This window comes from Homo sapiens, chromosome 19 (genome assembly GCF_000001405.40).
Source record: "Homo sapiens chromosome 19, GRCh38.p14 Primary Assembly".
NCBI lineage: Eukaryota > Metazoa > Chordata > Mammalia > Primates > Hominidae > Homo > Homo sapiens.
Genome location: NC_000019.10, coordinates 50,166,972 through 50,187,143, shown reverse-complemented (window position 1 = coordinate 50,187,143; position 20,172 = coordinate 50,166,972). Strand labels below are relative to the sequence as shown.

At 48.2% G+C, this 20,172-nt stretch overlaps 1 long non-coding RNA gene across 1 annotated transcript in view, besides 2 other annotated features; it reads left to right on the top strand.

The window, feature by feature from the left end:
• Positions 1–19,056, top strand: part of LOC124904746 (uncharacterized) — a 35,889-nt gene extending 16,833 nt beyond the window's left edge. The window contains exons 2-3 of the long non-coding RNA XR_007067298.1: positions 7,771–8,008; positions 18,657–19,056. This is a non-coding gene — a long non-coding RNA (uncharacterized LOC124904746). The remainder of the gene's footprint in view (positions 1–7,770; positions 8,009–18,656) is intronic.
• Positions 8,215–8,294: an enhancer, noted in NCBI's record as "active region_14976". NCBI's record gives its function as "activates an Ori minimal core promoter by ATAC-STARR-seq in GM12878 lymphoblastoid cells {active_cell/tissue: GM12878}" and the evidence as "EXISTENCE:reporter gene assay evidence [ECO:0000049][PMID:35858748]".
• Positions 8,534–8,613: an enhancer, noted in NCBI's record as "active region_14975". NCBI's record gives its function as "activates an Ori minimal core promoter by ATAC-STARR-seq in GM12878 lymphoblastoid cells {active_cell/tissue: GM12878}" and the evidence as "EXISTENCE:reporter gene assay evidence [ECO:0000049][PMID:35858748]".
• Positions 19,057–20,172: the final 1,116 nt, after the last annotated feature.

The following is a 20,172-nucleotide window of genomic DNA, read 5'->3' as shown; positions in this document are numbered from 1 at the left end:
TCAGGCTGGTCTCGAACTCCTGGACTCAAAAGATCCTCCCACCTTGGCCTCCCAAAGTGGTGGTATTACAGGCTTGAGTCACTGTGCCCAGCCTCAGTTCTATGCTTTTTGACAAATGCTTACACCTGTGTAACCACCAACAAAATTAAGACGCAACAAATCTGTCACCCTTGAAAATTCCCTTGTGCCTCTTTGCAGTCAACTCCTTTCTTTTTTTTTTTTTGAGATGGAGCCTGGCTCTGTCCCCCAGGCCGGACTTGCAGTGACGCTATCTGGGCTCACTGCAAGCTCCGCCTCCCAGGTTTACTCCATTCTCCTGCCTCAGCCTCCCGAGTAGCTGGGACTACAGGTGCCCGCCACCACGCCTGGCTAATTTTTTTGTATTTTTAGTAGAGACGGGGTTTCACCATGTTGGCCAGGATGGTCTCAAACTCCTGACCTCGTGATCCACCCGCCTCGGCCTCCGAAAGTGCTAGGATTACAGGCTTGAGCCACCACACCCGGCCCAGTCAACTCCTTTCTTGCTCCTGACAATCACTGCTCTGTTTTTGGTCCCTGTGGTGTGTCTTTTGCAGGATGTTATATAAATAGAATCACAGAGTGTATAGCCTCTGAGTCTGGCATCTTCCATTTAGCATGATGCATGTGAGATTCACCCATGTTGTGGCATGTATCAGTAGTGTATGCTTTTTCATTGCTGAGTAGTACTCTATTGTACAAATATACCACAGTTTGTCTATACATTCACTAGTCAGAGGATATTTAGCCTGTATAATTCTTCGGTGTGGCAATAATGAATATAGAATAATGTTTTTATTTTTGTTGTTATTTAAACATAGAGATGGTGTCTTGCTGTGTTGCCCAGGCTGGTCTCAAACTCCTGAGCTCAAGTGATCCTTCCACCTTGGCCTCCCAAAGTGCTGGAATTACAGACGTGAGCCACTGCACCCAGCCCAATGTTTTTAAATGTGTAAAATTAATGTATATTATTTATCATAATGAAATGTACCAGAATGGCTAAAATAAACAAGATTGACAACACCAACTGTTGGTGAGGATGTGGAGCAACTGGAATTCTTTTATACTGATAGTGGGAATGTAAAATAGTACAATCACTGTTATAGGATGAATAATGGCTTCCCAAAGATGTCTGCATCCTAATCCTTGAAGCCTGTGAATATGCTACTTTACATGGCAAAAGGAACTTTGCAGATGTAATTAAGGATCTTTTTTCTTTTCTTTTCTTTTCTTTCTTTTTTTTGTGTGTGTATGTGTGTGACAGAATCTCACTCTGTCACTCAAGCTGGAGGGCAATGGTGCAATCAGGGCTCACTGCAACCTTGAACTGCTGGGCTCAAGCGATCCTTCTGCTTCAGCCTCCTGAGTAGCTGGGACTACAGGCATGCACCACCACACCCAGCTAATTTTTTAAATTTTTTTTGTAGAGATGGAGTCTCTCTGTTTGCACAGGCTGGTCTCAAGCTCCTGGCCTCAAGCAATCCTCTTGCCTCCACCTCCCAAACTGCTGGGATTATAGGCATTGGCCACCATGCCTGGCCCATAGTTCATTTTAAACATTCCACAGTTGGGCCAGGTGCAGTGGCTCACGCCTGTAATCCCAGCACTTTTGGAGGCCTAGGCGGGCAGATCACGAGGTCAGGAGATCAAGACCATCCTGGCTAACATGGTGAAACCCCGTCTCTACTAAAAATATAAAAAATTAACTGGGTGTGGTGGCAGGCACCTGTAGTCCCAGCTACTCAGGAGGCTGAGGCAGGAGAATGGCGTGAACTTGGGAGGCAGAGCTTGCAGTGAGCCGAGATCACGCCACTGCACTCCAGCCTGGGCAACAGAGCAAGACTCCGTCTCAAAAAAAAAAAATTCCACAGTTGATGAGTTGATACGCATTTACATTGTTTCAGTGTTTTGCTATTTTAGACAAGGGAATTTTTTTTAAAGGATCTTTTTATACATGCCTCTTTGTGAATGCAGGCCAATTATTTTTCCCTAGGGCAGTCACTAGTAAGTGGTACTGCTGGATCTTAGGGTGTATGCATTTTTCCCCTAATACTTACGGAACATTTCAAAGATACAGAAAATTTGGGGGGAAAAAGTGTACAATGAACCTCCAAGTAGCCACTGGCTAGATTCTACAGCTGTTAATATTCTGCTGCATTAGGCTGGGCACAATGGCTCACGCCTGTAATCTCAGCACTTTGGGAGGCCGAAGCAGGAGAATCGCTTGAGGCCAGGAGTTCAAGACCAGCCTGGCCAACAGAATGAGATCTCCTCTCTATAAAAAATCAAAAAATGAGGCGGGAGGATCGCTTGAGTCCAGCAGGTTGAGGATGCAACAAGCTGTGATCGTGTCACTGCACTCCTGCCTGGGTAACAGAGTGAGACTCCATCTCAAAAAAAAAAAAAAATATATATATATATATATATATATATATATACACACTCATATATATATATATATACTCATATATATATACTTGTATATATATACGAGTATATATATATGAATATATATATGAGTATATGTATATGAGTATATATATATATATATATGCTGTATTAGCTGCATTGGATAAATATGTATCCATTCATCCTTCTCTCTATTTAAGCAATTCTAAACCAAGGACAAATTTGTCCCCCCAGGGACATTGGCAATGTCTGGAAACATTTATTACTGTCAACCTGTGTGTGTGGGAGTGCTGCTGGCATTTAGTGGGTAGAGGCCAGGATGTCAACCACATCCTACAATGCACAGGACAGCCTCCCACAACAAATAATTCTCTGGCCTCAAATGTCAATAGTGCTGGAGTTGAGAAACTGCAGCTTATCCATTCATTAGAATAATCTGCAGACGTCAGTAGGCTTCAGCCATAAACACTTCATTGCACACATCATTAATTCAATTTCAATATTTGTTTAGGGTTCCTTTTATTTAGGTAAAATTTACAGACAGTTAAATGTACAATTGCTAAGTATACCATTCAATGAGTTTTGACAAACGTATACACCCAACTAGAAAAAAATAGAACATTTCCATGTCCTAGAAAGTTACCTGACACTCTCCCCAGCCAACTCGCACCTCCACCCACCCCCAGGCAACTAATGTTCTGCTTTTTATCACCACAGATTAGTTTTGTCTGTTCTAGAGCTTTTTATAAATAGAATCCTATAGTAGATGATCTTTTGTGTTTCTTTCACTCCACGTAAAGCTTTTGATATTCATCCATGTTGTTATATGAATCAGTCATTTCTCTCTTTATTTTTATTTATTATTATTATTTTTTTTTTGAGACGAGGTTTTGCTCTTGTTGCCCAAGCTGGAGTGCAGTGGCACAGTCTCGGCTCACCGCAACCTCCACCTCCCGGGTTCAAGCGATTCTCCTGCCTCAGCCTCCCAAGTAGCTGGGATTACAGGCGCCCACCACCACGCCCGGCTAATTTTTGTATTTTTGAGACGGAGTCTTTTTCTGTCGCCCAGGCTGGAGTGCAGTGGCATGATCTTGGCTCACAGCAAACTCCGCTTCCTGGGTTCAAGCGATTCTCCTGCCTCAGCCTCCGGAGTAGCAGGGATTACAGGCACGTGCCACCACGCCCGGCTAATTTTTGTATTTTTAGTAGAGACAGGGTTTCACCATGTTGGCAAGGCTGGTCTCGAACTCCTGACCTCAGGTGATCTGCCTGCCTCGGCTTCCCAAAGTGCTGGGATTACAGGCACGAGCCACCACGCCCAGCCGAGAGACCCCTATCTCTACAAAATTAAAAAAAAAAAATTGCCAGACATGGTGGCACACGCCTGTAACAAAAAGAAATCAGTAGGTGACCCAGGTCTTGGCTCAAGGATTGCTTGAGCCTGGGAGGTCAAGCCTGCAGTGGCTGTGACTGTGCCACCACACTCCAGCCTGGGCAACACAGTGAGACTCTGTCGGAAGGAAGGAAGGAAGGAAGGATGGAAGGAAGGAAAGAAGGAAGGAAGGAAGGAAGGGAAGGGAGGGGAGGGGAGGGGAAGGGAGGGGAGGGAAAGAAAGAGAAAGAGAGAGAGAAAGAAGGGAAGGAGGGAGGGAAGGAGGGGAAGGAGGAGGAAGGAAGGAAGGAAGGAAGGAAAGAAGGAAGGGAGGGAGGGAGGGAGGGAGGGAGGGAAAGGGTTCGTAGATTAGTCCACAGAAATGTTACCATGTTTATTTCATAATATTTTACTGTGGTTATGAAAAGTTTCAACCTTTGGAGAAGCTTGGGTGAAGAGTGAGAATTCTTTGCATTATTTTGTATGAGAATTCTTTGCATTATTTTTGCAACTTTTTTGTTAAGTCTGAAATTATTTCAAAATAAAAAGGTTTTCAAAAGCCATATATGGCAAAACCTTCACATGCATCATATTTCTTTAACCCTTTCAGCACCATTATCTCAATTTCACCAACACAGAAACAGACTTAGAGACAGATAAGTAAGGGGCAGAGCTGGGATTTGAACTCATGTGAGTCTGATTCCAGTGCTCACATTTTTAAAAATTCAACACAATTTTTTAAGCACCTACCGTATGCTGGGCACTGTGCTGTGAACTGAGAATACCCCCATAGACAAGCCAGAGTGTCTGTCCTCCTGGATCTCAACTTCTCATGGAAGAGACAATGAACAAGTAAACAATAAAATGTTTGACATAATGTCAGGCGGTGAAGCTTTTATTTATTTATTTATTTATTTTATTTTTATTTATTTTTATTTTTTAGATGGTGTCTCGCTCTGTCACCAGGCTAGAGTGCAGTGGCACGATCTCAGCTCACTGCAACCTCTGCCCCCCCACCCCGGGTTCAAGCGATTCTCCTGCCTCAGCTTCCCAAGTAGCTGGGACTACAGGTGCCTGCCACCACACTTGGCTGGTTTTTGTATTTTTAGTAGAGACGGGGTTTCACCATGTTGGTCAGGCTGGTCTCAAATCGCTGACCTCATGATCTGCCCCACTCGGCCTCCCAAAGTGCTGGGATTACAGGTGTGAGCCATCACGCTGGGCAGGCAGTGAAGCTTTTAAAAATGCTGAACAAGGCTGAGCGTAATGGCTCATGCCTGTAATCCCAGCACTTTGGGTGGCTAAGGCGGGCGGATCATTTGAGGTCAGGAGTTCGAGGCCAGCCTCTACTCCTGTCTCTACCGAGAATCAAAAAGTTAGCCGGGCATGGTAGCACATGCCTGTAGTCCCAACTACTCTGGAGGCTGAGGCAGGAGGATCGCATGAGCCCAGGAGTTCAAGGCTGCAGTGAGCTATGATTGCACCACTGCACTGCAGCGTGGGCAACAGAGAAAGACCCTGGAGGGTGGATCACCTGAGGTCAGGAGTTCGAGACCAGCCTGGCCAACATAGTGAAACCCCATCTCTACTACAAAACTACAAAAATTAGCCAGGTGTGGTGGCACATGCCCGTAATCCCAACTATTTGGGAGGCTGAGACAGGAGAATCACTTGAACCCAGGAGGCAGAGGTTGCAGTGAGCCAAGATCGCGCCACTGCACTGCAGCCTGGGTGACAGAGAGAGACCCTGTTTCAAAAAAAATACAACAAAACAAGGCAACAGGGGGATAGAGAGAACATAGTAAGGAGCTGAATACTGAGAATAGGAAACAAAAGTACAGTGAAGGTAGAAGTTTTAAACCTCTGCGCTTTGGCTACCTGCGTCCCTAATTTGGTGCCTCCAAGTCTGAACTCTTACCCATTAAGCTAAATTACCTCCCACAGATGCCGTAATTAATCAGCTCTTTCCTTGACTCAGGGCTGTTATTACAAACATGGGTCATTACACCTATGGTTATTGAGCAATACTCTCTAGATCAGGGATTCTCACAGTTTCATATGCTCTAAAAATGTGCGTTGGTAAAAGCCATCAAATGAGCTCTGTGTGAGAAAGAGTAACTTTACAGAGGAGAAACTGGGTAGACAGCATCTTAAGCATGGGATCAAAGTTAGTATCACCCGTTGTGGGACCTGCTGACATCAGAGACCTCTTGATGTCATGCATCAAGGACACAGCATCCCTCCCGCAGTTAATGTTGTGAGGGATCTTAAAATTCTGATTCAGCAGGTCCAGGGTGGGGTGGAGGTTCTGTATTTTTAATATAAACTCCAGGTGATGCTGATGCTGCTACTTCATGGACCACATTTTAAGCAGCAAAGCTGGAGCTGCTTAAACTTGAGCAAAGCTGAAACCACCTCTAGGACTTGGTAAAATCCAGATTGTATAGATTGCACGGTGGCTCGTGCCTGTAATCCCAGCACTTTGGGAGGCCAACGCAGGAGAATTGCTTGAGGCCAGGAGTTCAAGACCGGCCTGGGCAACATAGCAAGACCCTCATCTCTATTTTAAAAAAATTAAAATTAACCAGGTGTAGTGACATGCACCTGTAGTCCAGCTACTCAGGAGGCTGAAGTGGGAGAATCACTTGGGCCCAGGAGTTTGAGGCTGCAGTGAACTGTGATTGAGCCACTGCACTCCAGCCTGGGTGACAGAGTGAGACCTTGTCTCTGAAAAGGTAGATAGATAGATAGACAGACAGACCGACGGATAGATAGATAGGCTGGCACAGTGGCTTACGCCTGTAATCCCACCACTTTGGGAGGCCAAGGCGGGGAGATCACCTAAGGTCAGGAGTTCAAGGCCAGCCTGGCCAACATGTCAAAACCCTGTCTCTACTAAAAACACAAAAATTAGCCAGGCATGGTGGTGGGCACCTGTAATCCCAGCTACTCAGGAGGCTGAAGCAGGAGAATCGCTTGAACCCGGGAGGCGGAGGTTGCAGTGAGCTGAGACAGTGCCACTGCACTCCAGCCTGGGCGACAAGAGTGAAACTCTGTCTCAAAAATAAAAATTTAAAAAGATAGATAGACAGATAGCCGTACTCTACGTACAGACTCTCTAGAATGCCTCCCTGTGCAGCATATAACTCTTTAGTCCTTTCATGCTCTGTGTGATCAATCCCCTCTATTAAATTACCTCCTGTTGAAAGACCTAAGGTGATTTTCGATTGCCTGGCCAGACCCTGTCAGAGACACACGTCTGGAACTGAGAAGGGGACAGTGAGCATGGGTCAAGTGTCCCTGAGATGCAGCATCCTATAGTAATGCACACCACAACCCCATGACACTAAACTTCGCATCCTTCTCTGTGGAAGCCTAGTGGTGTCCTGGTTCCTAACCTTTGCCCAGGCTGTTCCCTTCACCTTGAATGCCCATCCTCCCCTTCCCCCATATCTGAATTTTATCCATCTGTATTAGCCGTAACCAAGCACCAGAAACTGTGTGGCTTAAATGGTAGAAATTTATTGTCTCACAATTCCAGAGGCCAGAAATTTGCAGTGTTGCCTGAGCTGGTTCCTGCTGAAGTCCACGAGGGAGAATCTGTCCCAGTCCTCTGTCCTAGCCTCAGCCTCCCGAGTAGATGGGACTACAGGTGTGTGCCACCACACCTGGCTAATTTTTGTATTTTTAGTAGAGACGGGCTTTCACCGTGTTGTCCAGGCTGGTGTCGAACTCCTGACCTCAGGTGATCTGCCCACCTTGGCCTCCTAAAGTGTGGGATTACATGCATGAGGCACCGCACCCAGCCCACATGGCATTATTTTTATAAGGACACCAGTCAAATTGGTTTAGAGGTTCACTCTGCTCCAGGATGACCTCATCTTGACTAATTACATCAGCAATGACCCTGTTTCTAAATATGGTCACATTCTGAGGTATTGGGGGTTAGGATGTCAACAATTCTTTTTTAGGAGGAGACAAAATTCAGTTTCTTACACTCATGAAGGCAAAACAGAAAGCAGAGAAGACTGCCAGGAAACGCTGGGGTGAGGGGCTGCTCCCTTAGATCAGGTGGTCTGGGGAGGCCTCTCTTCACCAGAGATGCGTGAGTCACAGCATGAAGGAGATGAATTAGCAACGCTTTCCCAGGAGTAAAGAACATGGACTTCATTACCTGGCGTTTAGGACATTTCCCTTGGTGTCTCAGAGGTATTTAAATGGGTTTATTGTTGGTTTTTGTTTTTTTTTTCTCTCTGCTCATTTCCTGGTTTGAAAGTGGTGAGATTAAGAAAGAGGAGAGTCACTGAGGCGTGGTTCTTGTAAGAACCTGAGAATTTTTCCGCCGTGTCAAATTCACTAAATCAGTGGATCTGAGAAGCTCCAACAGCTGTGAGGCTGAGAAGCTGTCAGATCCCAATTCCGGTGAGAAGCTGGGGGTTTCCGCTGTGCAGCTGCTGTGCCAGGTATCAGACTGTCACAGGCAGCACCCTTGCCCAGCTTTATTTAGAATAAATGCACACAAAAATGGTGCAAACATTGTGAATGTACAGCTCAACAAATTATCACAAAGTGAACAAGCCCAGGAAGCCAGCACCCAGATTTTAAAATCAGAACATCCCCAAGCCCTCTTGTCCCTCTTCTTCTCCCAAGGGTCACCACTATTCTGACTTCTAACACCATAGATTACTTCTTCCTGTTCTTGAACTTTATAGAAATGGAACAGTACAGTCTGTACTCCTTTGAGTCTGTCTTCCTCCATTTAACATAGGTTGTATGTTGATTGTTGACTCTCATTGCTGAATGGCACAGGCTGGAAACCTACAACCTGGAGTCAGCTCTAGACTGTTGCCTGTTTGTGTAAATAAAGTTTTATTGGAACAAAGCCACGCCCATTCATTCACTGTGGTCTATAGCTGTGTAAGCCTGGCAATGGCTGCAGCAGAGACCACATGGCCCAGAAAACTGAAAATATTTACTATCTGGTCCTTAACAGAAAAAGTTTGTCAACCCCTACTAGATGGCATTCCATTGTACAAATATAACACAATCTATTTATCCATTCAATGGTGGACGGATGGATGTTTGTGTAGTTTCCAGTTTGGGGTTATTACAATAGGGTTTCTAAGGGCAGTCTTTTATGGAGTTGTGAAACTTTCTCTACAAAGAGCCAGAGAGGAAATATTTTATTTTATTTTATTTTTTATTTTATTTTGAGGCGGGGTCTCTCTCTGTCACTCAGTCTGGAGTGCAGTCGCGCGATCTCGGCTCACTGCACCCTCCACCTCCCGGATTCAAGCAATTCTCCCACATCAGCCTCCTGAGTAGCTGGGATTACAGGGGTGCGCCACCACACTGGGCTAATTTTTGCATTTTTGGTAGAGACGAGGTATCACCATGTTGGCCAGGCTGGTCTCGAACTCCTGACCTCAGGTGATCCACCCACCTCGGCCTCCCAAAGTGCTGAGATTACAGGTGTGAGCCACCATGCCCGGCCCAGAGAGGAAATATTTTAAACTTAGGGAATCATATAAGATCTTTGTCACAGGCCGGGCACGGTGGCTCAAGCCTGTAATCCCAGCACTTTGGGAGGCCGAGGCAGGCGGATCACAAGGTCAGGAGATTGCTAACACGGTGAAACCCCGTCTCTACTAAAAATACAAAATATTAGCCGGGCATGGTGGTGGGCGCCTGTAGTCCCAGCTGCTGGGGAGGCTGAGGCGGGAGAATGGCGTGAACCCAGGAGGTGGAGATTGCAGTGAGCCGAGATCATGCCACTGCACTCCAGCCTGGGCGACAGAGCAAGACTCCGTCTCAAAAACAAAAAAACTTTGTCACATATTCTTTTTTTTTTTTTTTAAACAACCCTTTTTTTTTTTTTTTTTTTTTTTTTTTGAGACGGAGTTTCGCTCTTTTGCCCAGGCTGGAGTGCAGTGGCGCGATCTCGGCTCACTGCAACCTCTGCCTTCTGGTTTCAAGCAATTCTGCCTCAGCCTCCCGAGTAGCTGGGATTACAGGTGCCCGCCACCATGCCCTGCTAATTTTCCTATTTTTAGTAGAGACGGGGTTTCATCATGTTGGCCGCACTGGTCTCGAACTCCTGACCTCGTGATCCGCCTGCCTCGGCCTCCCAAAGTGCTGGGATTAGAGGCGTGAGCCACCGTGCCCAGCCTACAACCCTTTAAAAACAAAAACCATTCTTAGCTCTGGCTCATAAAAGAACGGGCTGTAGACTGAATTTAGCCCCTGTAGTTAGCCAATCCGTGTTTTAGTACGTGGATTTTGGTGAACATACATGTGCATCATGGTTGGGTATGCCAAGGTCCCCCTTTTATTACAAATGTCCTGTTTTTCCTCTGTACTCTGCTGGAATAAAGTCCATGGGTAATCTAAACTATTTACACACATAACTTTAAAAAATCAAATAACTTTAAGATAAAGGAGAAATAGGCTGGGCGCAGTGGCTCAAGCCTGTAATTCCAGCAATTTGGGAGGCCGAGGCGGGCAGATCGTGAGGTCAGAGATCGAGACCATCCTGGCTAACACGTGAAACCCCATCTCTACTGAAAAAAAAGAAAAAAAAATTAGCTGGGCGTGGTGGCAGGCGCCTGTAGTCCCAGCTACTCGGGAGGCTGAGGCAGGAGAATTGCTTGAACCCGGGAGCCGGAGGTTGCAGTGAGCCGAGATCATGCCACTACACTCCAACCTGGGTGACACAGCAAGATTCCGTCTCAAAAAGAAAAAAAAATCAAATAACCGTAAGATAAAGGAGAAATAAGGTAAAATAACTTTAATAAGATAATATGAATTCTTTTTTTTTTTTTTCTTTGAGACAGAGTTTCACTCTTGTCGCCCAGGCTGGACTGCAATGGCACGATCTCGGCTCACTGCAACCTCCGTCTCCCAAGTTCAAGCGATTCTCCTGCCTCAGCCTCCCGAGTAGCTGGGGTTACGGGCGTCTGCACCACACCCGGCTAAGTTTTTTTTTCTATTTTTAGAAGAGATGGAGTTTCACCATGTTGGCCAAGCTGGTTTCAAACTCCTGGCCTCAAATGGTCCACCTGCCTCGTCCTCCCAAAGTGTTGGGATTATAGGCGTGAGCCAACGCGTCCGGCAGATAGTGTGAATACTTATATGCAAATGTTGGTACATTGCAATAGACCGTTCACAGATATTTTGTTGTTTGCTCCTCTGAGCATATAAGATTGTACTTCCTGTCATGTGACTTGCTTGAGCCAATGAAATGAGACCAGGAATACGTGTCATTTCATTGGCACTGGAGGATTTAGGCACGTTGGCTTCTCAGCCTTAGTAACTGGAAGCAATGTCCCACGAGTGGCTGATTTGTTAGCCTGGGTTCGATAGTCAGAACTCTGAAGCTGTGGAGGTAGAGTCCTCAGCTGGCTGTGATGGGCATTAGCATGAGTAAGAAGCATATCTCTGCTGTTTCATGTCTCTGAGATTTGGGGTTGGTTTATTCCTGCAACACAACACAACACATTTCATTCTGACTGCTATAGGTATGATCATATCAGATCAGTGATTCTCAAACAGGAGAAATAGTGTCCCTCAGGGGACGTTGCAATGTCTGGAGACAGTTTTGATTGATTTTCCTGGCTGGTGGGGAGGTCCCCTGACATCTAAAATGGCCAAGACTGGATGCGTTGGTTAACACCTGTAATCCCAGCACTCTGGGAGGCCGAGGTGGGCGGATTACCTGAGGTCAGGAGATGGAGATCAGCCTGGGTAACATGGTGAAACCCCGTCTCTACTAAAAATACAAAAAAAATTAGCCGGGTTTGGTGGTGCATGCCTGTAATCCTAGCTACTGGGGAGGCTGAAGCATGAGAATCTCTTGAACCCAGGAGATGGAGGTTACAGTAAGCTGAGATCAGGCCACTGCACTCCAGCCTGGGCGACAGAGCAAGACTCTTGTCTCAAAAACAACAACAACAACAAAAAAAAACAAAAGTGGAGTCCAAAGATGCTGCTCAACATCCTTCAACACACAGCACAGCCCCCAGCAACAAAGAATTGTATGGCCCCAAATGTCAACAGCGCCGGCTGAGAAACCCAGCCCTGGAGCCTTACTCCTGAGATGTGATCCGTGGACCAGAAGCATTAAGGAAACAGGAGCCCAGGAGAGCCAGAATAACCCCATTTTCAGTTCTGCTCCATCTTGGGACTGACAAGGCACATTTCTTGCCAGTCATGCACATTCCTTGCACACAGGCACAGCTTAGTTTAGTCTTTTTTTTTTTTCTTTGAGATGGAGTCTTGCTCTGTCACCCCGGCTGGAGTGCAATGGCGCCATCTCGGCTCACTGCAAGCTCCGCCTCCCGGGTTCACGCCATTCTCCTGCCTCAGCCTCCCAAGTAGCTGGGACTACATGCGCCCGCCACAACGCTTGGCTAATTTTTTGTGTTTTTGGTAGAGACAGGGTTTCACCATGTTAGTCAGGATGGTCTCGATCTCCTGACCTCGTGATCCACCGCCTTGGCCTCCCAAAGTGCTGAGATTACAGGCGTAAGCCACCACAGCCGGCCCCAGCCAGGTCATTATTATTCTCTCTCCAAATCCATCTCTCACCCATTCTTCCTTTGCAACGTGGCTTGTATTTATCCCTTCCTGTCTGAGCTCATTAGTTGTTAGCCTGCATTCTTGTTATTTTTCTCATTCATACATTCACTCATTCATCTGACAAATATTTATTGAGCCCCTACTGTGTACCAGGTATTGTTCGAGGGGCTGGGGACACAGCAGGGAGCAAGTTCATGTCCACGTGGAGCTTACGTTCAGGTGGGGAAGACCATCATTAATCAGGCAGTCACACCCAAAAATGTAAACTCCCCTCCCTGCTGAGGGCTACCATGGAAAAATGCATAGTGTTCTGAGAACATCTAACAGAGGAATTTGACCTTGTCAGGACCATCCCAAGGTGTTCCCTTAGAAGGTGTCCTCATTGAGCTTTAAGTTGAAAGATGAGTAGGGGTTATTAGGTAGAATGGGAGAGTAAGGTGGTCCAGGCAGAAGAGTCAGCATGTGCAAAGGTCCTGTGGCAGAAGGACACAAAGTGTATGCACAGAACAGGTGCTACACTCGAACTTTCAGCCTCAAGCAATCCTCCCACTTCAGCCTCCCAAGTAAGTGGGACTATAGGCATGCACCACCCCTGGCTAATTTTTGTATTTTTTGTGAAGATGGGATCTCTCTATGTGGCCCAGGCTGGTCTTGAACTCCTGGGCTTAAGCGATCCTTCCACCTGTAATCCCAGCACTTTGGGAGGCCAAGGTGGGTGGATCACCTGAGGTCAGCAGTTCGAGACCAGCCTAGCCAACATGGCAAAACCCCGTCTCTACTAAAAATACAAAAATTAGTCGGGTATGGTGGCCATGCCTGTAATTCCAGCTACTTGGGAGGCTGAGGCAGGAGAATCGCCTGAATCCAGGAGGCGCAGGTTGCAGTAAGCCAAGATTGCACCATTGCCCTCTAGCCTGGGCGACAGAGTGAGACTCTGTCTCAGAAAAAAAAAAAAAAAAAAAAAAAGGCCAGGCACGTTCTCACCCCAGGGCCTTTGCATTTGCTGTTTCCTCTGCCCAGAAGGCTCTTCCCTGGGATGACCTTGTGATTTGCTCCTCATTTCCTTCCGGACTTTACCTGAATATCACCTTCTTGGTGAGGTCTCCTCTCCTCTGCAGAACCCTGGAAATTAACAGCACCTCCTGCCACCTCCTCCCACCCTCCCTATCTGCTTTATTTATTTCCCCTTAGTGCCGAAGACCATGAAATATACTATATATTTCATGTGCTTATTTTATTAGAACATAGCTCCAGGGGTTTGAGTCTGAGCTGGTCACTGGTGTAGCCCCCGTGTCTAGAACTGTGCCTGGCATAGAGGTGGTGCATGTGCTGTGTCTATGAATGAGTGTGCGCATGAAACAGGCATGTCTACCGTGTGGCTAGAAACGGGTGGGTTCTGGAGGCCTAGGGAGCTCAGATAAGGTTCCGGCCTAGAGCGGTCGCTGTCTGAGGTGGGGAGGGCTGAGTCCTCAAGGGAAAGAGAAACCGATACCATCCTGCAGTCTGATAAGATCTGTGAGGGAGGGACAATTGCCTCAGCCATGGGTGGAGCAGTGTCCTGTGACCAGGACAGCATTTTCCTTGGAAATGCCCCTGAGGCTGGATTATTTCCCCTCCCTCCCTCCCTCTCCCTCCCTCCCTCCCTCCCTCCCTCACTTCCTTCCTTCTTTCCTTCTTTCCTTCCTTCCTCCCTTTTTTCCTTTTCTCTTTTCTTGCTTTTTGAGATAGGATCTCACCCAGTCACCCAGGCTGGAGTGCAGTGGTGTGATCATGGCTCACTGCAGCCTTGACCTCCCAGGCCCAAGGGATTCTCCCACCTCAGCATCCCAAGTAGCTGGGAACACAGCTGTGAGCCACCACATCCAGCTTTTTTTTTTTCTTTTTCTTTTTTTTTGGTAGAAACAGGGTCTCCCTGTGTTGCCCAGGCTTGTCTCAAACTCCTAGATTCAAGGTCTGCCCACCTCAGCCTCCCAAAGGGCTGGGATTACAGGCAGGAGCCACCAGGCTGAATGTACTTTTAATAGCCAAATAGCTCTACAACTCAAAAGCACATCTAGGCACTCATTATGTCAAATATTTAATGCATGTTCCATGACTGGGGTTTTTTTAGGTTGAGATTAAAACCTTTGGTCTTGGAGGTACAGAAAATAATTAGCTTTTCATGATTGCATGATGCCTTACAATCTTTAAGATTTTTCTTTCCTATGCAGTGTTGTGGCATAAAATAAGCCCTGGCCAGGCACAGTGGCTCGAACCTGTAATCCTAGCACTTTGGGAGGCCGAGGTGGGAGGATCGCCTGAGGCCATGAGTTCAAGACCAGCCTGGGCAACATAGTGAGACCCCATCTCTAAAAATAAAAATTAAAGCTCTAGAGGCCGGCCTCAGTGGCTCACACCTGTAATCCCAGCACTTTAGAAGGCCAAGGCGGGTGGATCACCTGAGGTCAGGAGTTCGAGACCAGCCTGGTCAATGTGGTAAAACCCCATTTCTACTAAAAATACAGAAAATTAGCCGGGCATGGTGCCACATGCCTATAGTCCCAGCTACTTGGGAGGCTGAGGCAGGAGAATCGCTTGAACCTGGGAGACAGAGATTCCAGTGAGCCGAGATCATGCCACTGCACTCCAGCCTGGGCGACAGAGCCAGACTGTCTCCAAAGAAAAAGAAAGAAAGAAAAGAAAAAAAAAAAGAAAGAAAGGCCCTAGATTTTGGTCCAAAGTAGTGCATGCATACAGTATAAAACTTTCCTGGCTGGGAGGTGGACTGGAGGCAGGTTGGGGCCAGGGGCTAGTGGGAGAGAGGATGTGAGCTGAGTTCTCACCAAACAGAATTTTCAGGTGACTCACAGGCCATACCTCTGTGCTCCCAGCTCACATTTACAGAACGATGTCTGTGTACAAGGATTTTAAATTCATCATCCCATTTGCCCCTCACAGCGAAACTATTGTAGAGATGCTAATGTTGTCTTCATTTTACAGACAAGGACGCTGAGGTACGGGGGGATATGCACAGGTCACACAGTTCATAAGGGGCAAAGCTGGGATCCTGACACTACAGCCCACACTCTTTAAAAAAAAAAACTACCTTTTAAACTTTTTTAAAAATATAATTCACATGCCATAAAATTCACCATTTTAACGTGCAATTCGGTGGGTTTTAGTATATTCATGTTTGCACAACTATCACCACTATCTAATTCCAGAGCATTTTCTTTTTTTTTTTTAATTTTTCTTTTTTTTGAGACAGAGTCTTGCTTTCTCGCCCAGGCTGGAGTGCAATGGTGCAATCTCAGCTCACTGCAACCTCCGCCTCCTGGGTTCAAGCAATTCTCCTGCCTCAGCCTCCCAAGTAGCCGAGATGACAGGCACGCACCACCACACCCAGCTAATTTTTGTATTTTTAGTAGAGACAGGGTTTTGCCATGTTGGCCAGGCTGTTCCTGAACTCCTGACCTCAAATGATCCACCCACCTCGGCCTCCTAAAGTGCTGGGATTACAGGCATGAGCACCCGGTTGTAAATATATTTTTATATTATATTGCTGTCCATTCACTTTCTGGATGGTGTTTTCTGAAGCCCAAAGGACTTCAGATTTTTTTATTTTGGTTGAGTCCTCGCTGGCCTATGTATTTTTTGTTTGTTTGTTTTTTGTTGTTTTTTTTTGAGATGGAGTCTTGCTCTGTCCCCCTGGCTGGAGTACTGTGGCGCGATCCCGGGTTTACACCATTCTCCTGCCTCAGCCTCCCGAGTAGCTGGGACTACACGCGCCCGCCACCACACACGGCTATTTTTTTTTTTTTTTTTTTGTATTTTTAGTAGAGACGGAGTTTCACCTTGTTAGCCAGGATGGTCTCGATCTCCTGACCTCGTGATCCGCCCGCCTCAGCCTCCCAAAGTGCTGGGATTACAGGCGTGAGCCACGCGCCCGGCCAGTACCGTGTATTCTTGATCCTGCACACTGTGTTGAATACAGTGATTCACAGGTGGGGGACTTTTGGCATTATCTACGGACATCTATGGTTGTCACAGCTGGGAGTGCGGGTGCTGCTGGCATTTAGTGAGTAAAGGCCAGAGATGCTGCCCACATCCTATACCGTGCACAGGTCGGGGCCTACAAGGACGGATCATCCAGCCCCAAACGTCAGTAGCGCTGACGTTGGGAAATCCCGATTACCGATACACGTAACAGCCAATATGAAACCCTCACAGCGTAGGGTTAGAGCACAGGCTCTGAGGCCGGGCAGCCCGAGTTCAAGTTCTCGCCCTGCCTCCTACTCACTGTCCGATTTGGGGCAAGTTGTACAACCTCATCATCCTCATCTGTAGATGGGGACAATGCCATTGCTTCCCTTACAGCACACCGTGAGGATGAAAGGAGGCGCTAGGCCTTGGCATGTGGCCTGGCACAGAGTCCACACTCTCAACCCATGTGGGCCGTGGGTTTGGTTCAGCGTCCACTAATACCAGGTGTCCAGGACACACAGTGATTCCCTTCAGTTTCAGGTCAGCCCAGTGAGTGCCATGGTGCAGTGAGGAAACTGAGGGACAAAGAGAGGAAGCCTCCTGCCCAATGTCACACAGAACATGGGGTTCTCAAACAGAGTCTGAAAGGCAGGCAGGCAAGAGGAAAGGAAGGAAGGGAGGAGAGAAGGGAGGGAGGGAGGGAAAGAAGGGAGGGAGAGAGGGAGGGAGGGAAGGAAGGAAGAAATGAAGGGAGGGAGGGAGGGACAGACAGAGGGAGGGAGGGAGGGAGGAGCAAGACAGGAAAAAGGAGACAAAGCACTGAGACACAGGGAGAGGGGCAGAGATAGGAGACAGGGGATAGAGACCCAGAGAGAGGGGGACAGAGAACCAGAGAGAGGGGGACAGAGACTCAGAGAGAGAGGGATAGAGACCCAGAGAGAGAGAGGGGGACAGAGAACCAGAGAGAGGGGGACAGAGACTCAGAGAGAGAGGGATAGAGACCCAGAGAGAGAGGGGGGGACAGAGACCCAGACAGAGAGGGACAGAGACCCAGAGGGTTGGGGGGACAGAGACCCAGAGAAAGGGGATAGAGACTCAGAGAGGAAGGGGACAAACACCCAGAGAGATAGGGACAGAGACCCAGAGAAAGAGGGACAGAGAGAGAGAGAGAGGAAAAAAAAGAGACCCAGAGAGACTGTGAGGGCAGAGACCCAGAGAGAGGTGGTACAGAGACCCAGAGAGAGTTGGTACAGAGACCCAAAGAGAGGGGGACAGAGACTCAGAGAGAGAGAGAGGAACAGAGACCCAGAAGGGGGAGGGGACAGAGACCCAGAGACAGGGGAGTACAGAGACCCAGAGAGAGAGAGAGAGAGAGAGAGAGACAGAGACCCAGGGAGGAGACAGAGACCTAGAGAGAGAGAGAAAGAGGCAGAAAGGGAGGCATAAGAGAAAAAGGAGCGAGTGATAGAGTTTGAGGAACAAGAGGGACAGTTAGGATTGGCTGGGGGCAGACAGCCTGTGGTCACCTCACACCCCAGTTTCCTGTCCAGAGAGCAGGCAGTGGAGACAGGCAGTGTACAGAGAACCCCTGGGCCTCGGGAGGGTGTGGGGACTCTGGCCTGAGGGGCAGCCTCCAGGCCCAGTGTGTGAGCAGAGCCCATGTCACCCCTCAGTGCTGGTGATGGAATGAGAGGAACTGTGGGTGTGACCGTGCCCCACCCGTGGGTGTGAGAGTCACTGAACTAGGTGAGAAGTGCCCCACGGGGCAGGTCACGGGCCCCGCCTCTGCCTTGGGGTGCCTGCCATTCAATCCCAGGCCATGCAAATAACAAAGCATGTTATTTTAAAGTTTTTGTGTGTGTGAAATATAACACACATCCAGAAAAGAATGCAGAACACAATGTGCAAGCAACTGACGTATCTATCGACTGATGAATGAATGCACGCAATGTGGCCCATCCATACAATGGAATATTATTCAGCCTTAAAAAAGGAGGCTGTAGGCCAGGCGTGGTGACTCACGCCTGTAATCCCAACACTTTGGGAGGCCGAGGCAGGCGTATCATCAGATCAAGAGATCGAGACCATGCTGGCCAACATGGTAAAACCTCGTCTCTACTAAAAATACAAAAATTAGCCAGGTGTGGTGGCACATGCCTGTAGTCCCAGCTACTCAGGAGGCTGAGGCAGGAGAATCACTTGAACCTGGGAGGCAGAGGTTGCAGTGAGGCCCCTCAGAAGGTGGCCCAGTTGGAGCCCCCTTGTCCCTGCAGAGAAAACCTCTCTCCTCACTTTCCCATCATCACTGTCCTTACAGGGACCGCAGGTCAGATGAGCGTGCAGCTGTGGCTCCATCCCGTGCCTTTGCCTGTTCTGAACTTTCCATCAACGGAATTGCAGATTGGCCGGGCACGGTGGCTCACGCCTGTAATCCCAGCACTTTGGGAGGCCGAGGCAAGCAGATCACGAGGTCAGGAGATCGAGACCATCCTGGCTAACACAGTGAAACTCCGTCTCTACTAAAAATGCAAAAAATTAGCCGGGCGTGGTGGCGGGCGCCTGTAGTCCCAGCTACTGGGGAGGCTGAGGCGGAAGAATCGCTTGAACCCGGGAGGCGGATCACTTGCAGTGAGCGGAGATCGCACCACTACACTCCAGCCTGGGGGACAGCGCGAGACTCTGTCAAAAAATAAAAATAAAAAAGGAATTGCAGATCACGTCGTCCTTTGTTTCTGCTTTTGCTCAACATCATGTTTGAACGATGGCCCAGAGAGGTTTGCGGGCAGCTAGATCATCATCCCACTGCCGTGCGGGATTCCATCCGAGGAACACGCCACAGTGGGTTTATCTAGCGAGTCTTCCCGTTGACGGATATTTGGGCCGTCTCCACCTTGAGTTCCTTACAAAGGACGCTGCCAAGGGGATTCGTGTCTGCGTGCCCCTGGCGGGTGTGTGCACCCATTTCCCGTGTGTGCATGTGGAGGAAGGGATGCGCACGTGGCCAGCCTGCATAGAGCCTGACGGTTTTCCAACGTGGCTGTCCCTGTCTGCCCTCCCACAGCTGTGCATGAGAACAGGTCACCGTTTTTGTAGCCACACAATGTGTACTAGGGAGGGGGCTGGACATGGGAAGTGGATGATGAGAAAACGCCCCTCACCCCACCCCGCTACGCTGGAACCACCTCCTCTAATTCCCCGCCTCCGCTAGGCTTGAAGCCAAATCCCTGTAACCATTTCCCAGACATTCTTTTCCGCCTGCTGCACACCATCGCCACATCAGGCCATTAGTGTCACTCAGCAGGGCTTTGCAGCCTGGGGACCTCTGGCTGCCTGCCTGGCCCCACATCTGTCTCTGTCTCTACCTGCGTGACCTCACACGAGTAGACTGTCCCTGCTCTGCCTCCGCATCCACATCAGCCAAATTTCGTGTGGACGAAATGAGATAAGGCATGCCTTCATTCTGGCAATACACACATGGGTATGTACATTACTTCATGAGATTCACAAAGCCCCCCAAACCCTCTGGAAATATGAGAGCAGCAGGCACAGCTTTGAACAGTCACAAACTCAGATGAGCATAAAACATATAGTCCTTTTCAGCTGGGCGTGGTGGCTCACGACTGTAATCCCAGCACTTTGGGAGGCAAGGTGGCAGATCACTTGAAGCCAGGAGTTTGAGAACAGCCTGGCCAACATGGTGAAACCCCGCCTCTACTAAAAATACAAGAATTGGCCTGGCGCAGTGGCTCACGCCTGTAATCCCAGCACTTTGGGAGGCCGGGGTGGGTGGATCACGAGGTCAGGAGTTCAAGAACAGCCTGGCCAACACAGTT